The sequence below is a fragment of the Homo sapiens genome, chromosome 15, assembly GCF_000001405.40.
Source record: "Homo sapiens chromosome 15, GRCh38.p14 Primary Assembly".
Lineage (NCBI taxonomy): Eukaryota > Metazoa > Chordata > Mammalia > Primates > Hominidae > Homo > Homo sapiens.
The window spans coordinates 78667850-78675808 of record NC_000015.10 but is presented as its reverse complement, the minus strand read 5'-3'; the positions used below and the strand labels follow the sequence as shown (position 1 = coordinate 78675808).

Genomic DNA, 7959 nt, shown 5'->3' with positions numbered 1-7959 from the left:
AATGAAGAGGTGTGGGTGGGTAGCCCCTCAGAAACTGCTGGCCCTGCTGGTGTCACCACTGAGAGCCCCTGGACACAAAGCCCTCCATGGACCCCCTTAGGCTTGCCTGGCAACACACAGGGGCCTGTTGCCCAGACACATGCTTCCTCATGGTGCCCCTCGGCTGACCACAGGGAAGCTTTGGAACTATCCCATAGAAAAGACTTCATTAGATCTCATTCTCCTCAAGTCCATTTGGGGAGAGCCGGCCGTAGAATGAGAGGGCTCATTTTCTGGTTGCATTAGCCATTAGCCATTAGCTTGGGAGGTCTGGGCCCTGAAGTCCTGGGCAGCGCAGGGAGGGGTGGGTGAGCATCTACTTCACACCAGAGGTGCTCCTGGCCTTGCCAGGCCTGACCTCAGAGGAGTTGATCACATGGGGGTCTTTTCTCCCCAAGACTCACAGAGACATGCAAAACGCCAAGTAGGGGGGTGGGTGAGGCCTACAGAGGGGAAGGAACTTGTTGAGGCCTCCACAGTGAAGGGGGCAGCTCCAGTGCCTGGCCCCCAGAAGGTCCTCAGGCCTGAGCCCCCCTGTAGCACCAACACAGGGCAGTGCTGAGCCGCTACCCCCAATCCCACCTCCCTAAGGTATGACTAATGGGCCAACTGTCCTGGTCCAGGGATGTTTCTAGCCAGCAACATTTAGCTCTGAAGGTAGCTTTCCTGCAGCTGTTGTAACAAATTAAAGCAAAATGGTTGGCTTAAAATCCCAGAACTTTGCTCACAGTTCTAGAGGCCAGAGGTCTGACATCAAGGTGCTGGCAGGCCCACGTTCCCTCGGAATGTGCTATGGCAGAGTCCCTCCTTGCCTCTTCCAGCTCCTGGGGGACCCAGACATTCTTTAACTCATGGCTGCATCACTCCAGCCTCTGCCTCTGTCTTCCCATGGTCTTTTTTGTGCCTTTCCTTTTCTGTCTCCTATAAGGACACACTGGATTTAGGCCCCGCTCAGACGATCTCATCTTGAAATCCTTGATTATACCTACAAAGACCCTTTTCCCCAATAACACCACATTCACAGGGTATGCGGGTTAGGAAATGGACATGTCTTTTCGGGAGGCCACTGTTCAACTCATAACATACACCATTGGATTGCCCCACTCCCCCAAATTGCCAGCCAGACTCTGTTGTTTGTTCATGCTTTCTTTGTGGGAACAATAACAGTAACCGCAATACTAATAGATAACATTTTAGTGCTTACTAAGTGCCAGGCACCATGATAAGCCTTTAACATATTAAACTCATTTAATTGTCACTGCAACCCTGTGAAGTGGTTACTATTCTCTCCAAACTACAGTCGAGGAGATGAGGGTCAGAGAGGAACATGTTGTTGGTAACAGGTGAATACAGAACTCAACTCCTGGGATCCCAGAGTTCAGAGTGGACAGACCAAGGTAAGAGACAGAGCTCTTGTCCCTGGAGTTGAAGGGGGTGAGGAGCTGAGGAAGATGATGGAGGAACTCTGGCCAGCACCACTCTGCCCCTTCCAGCTGTGTTACCCTGGGCCGGGGCCTGGCTGTCTCTGAGTCTCTGGCAGGTGAGGTCTGGGGTGGACTCTTTCTGGCGCAGGCCTGGGTTGATGACACTGGTTCTTAACCCTGGATGCATATCAGGATACCCTGGGAGCTTTTCAAAATCCCAATGTCCAGGCCACTCCCCAGGCCAACTACAACAGAGTCTCTCAGGGGTGGGATCCTGGCACATGGGTGGCTTTGACAGCTCCCAGATGATGCCAATGTGTGGTCCAAGCCAAGAACCGCTGCTCAAGTCTGTCCATTCTCTCCCTGGCTCACCATGCCCCAGTAGGGAAGCTGAGGATCTGAAACTCTGTGTCCCTGACTCCCAGTAGTTACTGGATAGCCAAGAGATGGGCCTGGCTTGGTGCAGATGAGGGACACCTGGGGCTGCAGCATGGGTTGGGGTGGGACAGAAAATGGGAAACAAGTCCCTGGCAGGCATGGGAGTGGCCGGCCAGTCTGCCAGAGACCCCTGATGTGAGTTCAGTCTCTGGCAGGCCCAGTCCAAGAGAGAAAAGGCCTGAAGGGATGACACACGGTGAGTTTTGGGTGTCAGAAAGTGGGACACAGCAGGACACAGGAACTCCCACGGTGTGACTTCTGGGAAGAAGGGCTGGGCAGGAAACGATGGAGGATTCATGCCAATCAGGACACAGGGATGCTGTGCTGGCCTGGCCCTGACCTTTCCATTGCAGCTCTGACAGCTGGGGTGGTCTAAGGCCCAGAAAGGGGCTGGTGTGAGGACTCTGTGTGAGGTTTGGGAAGATTTTTGGTGCAGACTCGGCTGAGGCCAACTGACCAGACAGCTCGGGCTGCTAGGGCTGCTCCAAATTTGGAATTCCGTGCCCTGGTTGGAGAAAGCAACCGGGAGAAGCACAGAGAAAAACTCTCCTTCTCCTCTTTTCCAAGAATGAGAATGGGGCCTTCTCTGACCATTTGGGAACTGGGTTTTTAAGACCAGGTTAGGAACTATTAAGGAAAAGAAAAAAAAGCCCTGCCGCCCCCACTTAGAACATTCATTTTGTAGTGAAACTTTGGCTTCAGTCTCTCTCTTCCTGTCTTTTTTTCTCTGCTCTCTAAGCCAACTGTATCTTTGTCTTGCTCTGTCTAGCTGTCTCTCCCTCTCCCTGTTGTTTGTATCTTTTTCTGCCTCTCTTGTGTACCTGACTCACTCTCTGCCTCTCTCTGTCTCTATCTCATTCTATCTTTATCTACTATGATCTCTGTCAGATCCCGGGGTCCAGGTCCAGCCCATGCTGAAGTCCAAGGGGAGTGCGTGGATGGGCAGAAAGAACACTCGGGGGGCCATAGGCAGGTGACTATGGTTTATTCAGCAGCAGCTCTCTTACACAGCTTATTTAAATTAGCTTTCTCATTAACAACTTACTCACACACTGTTCACCCTGTCTCGGCTGCTTGAGCTGGCTGCCCCCACGCACAGTTGTGCAGCCAGCTCTCCTTTGCCTTCAGGGTCAGCAGCTTAACTCTTTCTCTCTCTGGGCACAAGCAAGCCAAGTTGGGTCCTGACTCCCTCCTGTCCATCTGCAAGATGGAGAGCTTTGACTCTCTCTCTCTTTCTCTGGGCACCCGCGCACCTGCCATGCCAAGCCATGTTGAGCCGAGCCGAGACACCCAAGAGCCAAGCCCCATGCACAGCATCAGCAGGACAGTTATACCTTTTACAGACCATAGTAACTTAAAGCCAAGTATGAACTTACACAAACAGGTTATATAACAAGTGGAGGTGTGCACTTGTGCACCAAACTAGCTGAGTCATGCAGGCCTGAATATCCGCCTTGGCCTGTTCCTAGACCAAAGCACATCCATGTACCTTACAATCTCTTAGTTTCAGCCTCTCTCCCATTCTGAGTTTTCTGACTCTTTTTTTCTTTTTTTTTTTTTAAGACTATGGCAGCCCATAGAAGCAAGAATGTTAGTCCTAGAGAATGAGACTTACCTAAATTCACTCCTAGAGCAAGCTGATACCTGTGTGGAGCCCACAGCCCTGGCCCCCAATCCCCAGGCTGGGCTTTTTCCCTAGCACTAAACTGCCACTTATCACTGGTTATCAGGATTGTTAGTGCACAGCTGGCTGAGGCCAGATGCCGGGCACAGGACTCCCTGAGACGAGCCACAGGGTGGGCCCAGTGCCACATAAGATCTTGCCCTCCCAGCTGGAGTCACAGCTGTCCAGGCCCATAGCTCTGGCCTTCCAAGTCCTGTTTCTGGGAAGCCAGATTGAATTAGCTACTGGGCCCATCTGGTCAGTCCTTGGCCTAATACCGTCTGGCAGCTCATGCCTCAATGCCAACCCCAGCCCCATGGCCTCACGGCCAGAAATCCAATTTACTGAAGCTTAATTGAGCCCCTGACTCCCTGGAGCATTGGCCCTCAGGCTCTCCTGCTCCACTAACAGCAGATTTCCCGGTGATTAGGAAAGGAGGAAAAAACAGCAGGAGCCAAGTTAATTTCAATTACCCTCATTTCCTCCCTGGAGCAGCACACACCCCTTGCTAAGTGCGTCTTTATGTCAGCTGCAGTGGAAGCTGATGAGTATTAAGTATTAGAGCTCTGGGTGCCCCAGACACCTTGCATTTTATCTGCTGACTCCAGAGAGCAGACTGTCCCCCCGCACCTGCTGGTCCTCAGCATTTAGTCCTATTTTACGGAGCCCAGAGAAGCAAGCTCAGATACAGTCAATGCCCGTGTGGGAAAAGGGCGGAATATTTTAACAGTCTTTTCAGATAATTGCGGATAATTTTCTTAAATACTACATCAAAACTCAACAAGTGGTACTTCTTAAAGGTTAATTGCAATGTGGATTCGGAAACCATATCGATGAAATTTCAGTACTTTGTGACTCTAAAATCCATTGATCTATCTTGCACTTCAGATGGATTTTTTACCTATGCATGATTTTGTAACATTATGCATTGGTCAATTGGAAAATATTGGTGTTCTGAGTTATGCAGATCTTTCAGATGTTGATGCATTTTATCATATAGTATTTTTAAAAAATCATGTTTATTATTCTTACCACAATCTCATCAGAAAAGTCTGTAAGTGGCCGGGCGCAGTGGCTCACGCCTGTAATTCCAGCACTTTGGGAGGCCGAGGCGGGCGGATCACAAGGTCAGGAGTTCGAGACCAGCCTGGCCAACATGGTGAAACCCCCGTCTCTACTAAAGATACAAAAATTAGACAGGTGTGGTGGTGGGTGCCTGTAATCCCAGCTACTCGGGAGGCCGAGGCAGGAGAATCGCTTGAACCAAGAAGGCAGAGGTTGCAGTGAGCCGAGAGATTGTGCCACTGCACTCTAGCCTGGGCAACAAGAATGAAACTCTGTCAAAAAAAAAAAAGAAAGAGAAAAGTCTGTAAGTATTGGAAAGATATTAAGCTTGTGGTAGCAAATACAAGTTTTCCAAAATTCTCATCTTCACTTGAAAGCTCAAATGCTATTGCCTATAAGTACTGTCAGTTTCCCTTGAAGTGGCAAGCTTACTTTGTTCATTTTTTAGACAATATCCATCTCTGAATAAGTAGTTTGTCCACCATCCTTTTTTTTTTTTTTTTTTTTTTTTTTTTTTTTTTTTTTTTTTTTTTTTGAGACAAGAGTCTCACTCTGTCGCCCATGCTAGAGTGCAGGGGCGCAATCTCGGCTCACTGCAAGCTCCGCCTCCCAGGTTCACGCCATTCTCCTGCCTCAGCCTCCCAAGTAGCTGGGACTACAGGCACCCACCACCACGCCCACTAATTTTTTGTATTTTTAGTAGAGACGGGGTTTCACCGTGTTAGCCAGGATGGTCTCGATCTCCTGACCTCGTTATCCACTCGCCTCGGCCTCCCGAAGTGCTGGGATTACAGGCATGAGCCACCGTGCCTGTCCTGTCCACCATCTTTTCAAGCAAAAATGGTGTTTCATGAAAAATGCAACTAGTTCAACTTGCAACTCAAAGACTGCACAAATATTTTTCGTCTAGATATTTATACTTTGCTATGAAACAGAAGTGCTTTATGTCTACCTCCCATTTGTTCACAGATTATTAAAAAGATGTGAACTCAGAGGTTGAGATTTCACAAAATTAATACATATATATTTGCTTTATCAAGGGCAGTCAGAAATGAAATGCCAAGTTCCACTTGCTGTAAGTGTGTGATGGTGAAGAAAACTATGATCACCAGAACAGTTTGGTGCCACCGCCTTGATGTGGGTTAGGGCACTGAAGTTTTACTCCCCATTGCTTTTCCATGATCGATGCAAAAGGCTAACATCATAGTCTATTATGAAAATAACTTTGACCTTGTAGATCCTCTAAAAAGGCTTTGGGGACCTCCAGAATTTCACGGGCCACACTTTGAAAACCACTGCCCTAAAGCAGGGATCATCCAACCCCAGGATACATAAAAGTCACCTGGAAGGCTGATTAATATGCAGATTCTTAGGCCCTAGCCCCAGAATTCTGAATCTGTAGTTCTGGGACGGGATCTATGATTATGCATTTCTAACAAGCTTGCAGGTGATGCTAATGCTGCAGGTCCCGCAACCAAAGTTTTTGTTTGTTTTGCATTTATTTTTATTTTTTATTTTTTGTAGAGAGAGGGTTTCATCATGTTGCTCAGACTGGTCTTGAACTCCTGGGCTCAAGTGATCCACCCACCTCAATCTCCCAAAGTGCCAGGATTATAGGCATGAGCCGCTATGCCTGGCTGGGAACCAAATTTTGAGTAGAAAAATCCTAAAGTACACAACATTTCTTAAAATATTTTCATAGAATGTTAACAAATTTAAAGACATTTGGGAAGAACTGGATTAATCAAAAATATACAAGTTTATTTACTGTGGGACTTCTCAGAGCCTTTAATATGCCAATGTAAATTGGGACTCCCCAGGAGAGGCATTGGGTGCTCTGGGTTCCCAAACCTATTTGGTTTGGAATGCTTTTTCAGGGCTGGTAGCAGGGGCTTACAAGTTAATGTTCCTCAGAGCATGCTTTCTGAGCCACTTCTGTAGCAGTTTATGAATCAACTCCCTCAGGGAACAGAGCCGACCATCCCCATCTCCTCCTCCTCCTCCTCCCCTCTCCCTCCCAGGCCAGCTCTGCTCCCTTTCATACCTCATCTACATCTCTGGGGGAGGGGAAGTGGGGACAACCCAATTTAACTGTAGGACCGCATTGTACCACACTTGGCACACTGAGTTTTGTTTCATTTTAGATTTATCAGTCTGTGGTAGACTTATTTCAAACATGGATCACCAAAATCAGGGACATGCTGTTCAATACGCCTCTTTATATATATATATATATTTTTTTGTTTGTTTGTTTGTTTTGAGATGGAGTCTTGCTCTGTCACCCAGGCTAGAGTGCAGTGGCACAATCTCAGCTCACTGCAACCTCCACCTCCCAGTTTCATGTGATTCTCCTGCCTCAGCCTCCCAAGTAGCTGGGATTACAGGCACCCACCATCATGCCTGGCTAAATTTTGTATTTTTAGCAGACACAGGGTTTCGCCATGTTGGCCAGGCTGGTCTCGAACTCCTGACCTTGTGATCTGCCCATCTCGGCCTTCCAGAGTGCCGGGATTACAGGGGTGAGCCACCGTGCCTGGCCCGGTTCTTTTCTCCTTAAGCTTCTACACAAATGGGTTCTGTGCACCTTTCTATCAGGCATGCGTACACCTCCAGCGCTTACAGACAAGGTCACAAAAACCATTCCCTAAAAAAGACATGGAGTTAGTTGGAGAGTGAACCCAAAAGGAGCTTCAGGACTCATACTGCACAATTCACTTGGCTTCTAGGGCAGGGTCAGTTTTGGGGAATCATAATCATACCCTCCCATGGTGATGTGACTCTATAGGCATCTGGATTGGGGACAAAGGCTAACCTGAGAGGGAGGCTGCTATGAAGGAATCCCGGTAACCAAAACTAGTAGAGGAGGGAGGGAGTAAGCCAGGAGGATGCAGAACTTAGCTCCTGCCTAGTGACAGGCACTGCTGCCTCCATGCTGAATGGCATGGGAACAGCTTAGCCAGAGGGGCTTAGATTCCTGCTGTACCCCAAGACGTGGATGTGGGCTGTGCAGATAGGAGCCACCAAACATGACTTGTTCTGCTCTGCCTCTCTTCAGGCCCTGGCCATTTAGTGTGTTAAGTATATCGGAGACTGTAAAGGACAGAAGAGGAACCTGCCCCAGACTGGACAATCACACAGGGCTGTCTGGAGGAGGCAATGCTGGAGCTCCTGCAGGGAGGTGGGTGGTGCGGAAATGGGAGTCCAGGAGAGTTACCCTGATGATTTCCCTCCACGTGCAAGGAAAAAACAAGAGTAGGGGCATAAGTATTCCTTCCTCCAGCAGACGGATTCAAGCCATCTAAGAATAGAAGGGGGAAAAGAGTGTTCCAG

The 7959-nt window shown here is 48.6% G+C and overlaps 2 annotated features.

The window, feature by feature from the left end:
• Positions 1640 to 2530: an enhancer, noted in NCBI's record as "H3K4me1 hESC enhancer chr15:78965621-78966511 (GRCh37/hg19 assembly coordinates)". NCBI's record gives its function as "activates a minimal SCP1, AML or CMV promoter by ChIP-STARR-seq in primed H9 embryonic stem cells {active_cell/tissue: H9 hESC(primed)}" and the evidence as "EXISTENCE:reporter gene assay evidence [ECO:0000049][PMID:30033119]".
• Positions 3423 to 4314: an enhancer, noted in NCBI's record as "OCT4-NANOG-H3K4me1 hESC enhancer chr15:78963837-78964728 (GRCh37/hg19 assembly coordinates)". NCBI's record gives its function as "activates a minimal SCP1, AML or CMV promoter by ChIP-STARR-seq in naive H9 embryonic stem cells {active_cell/tissue: H9 hESC(naive)}" and the evidence as "EXISTENCE:reporter gene assay evidence [ECO:0000049][PMID:30033119]".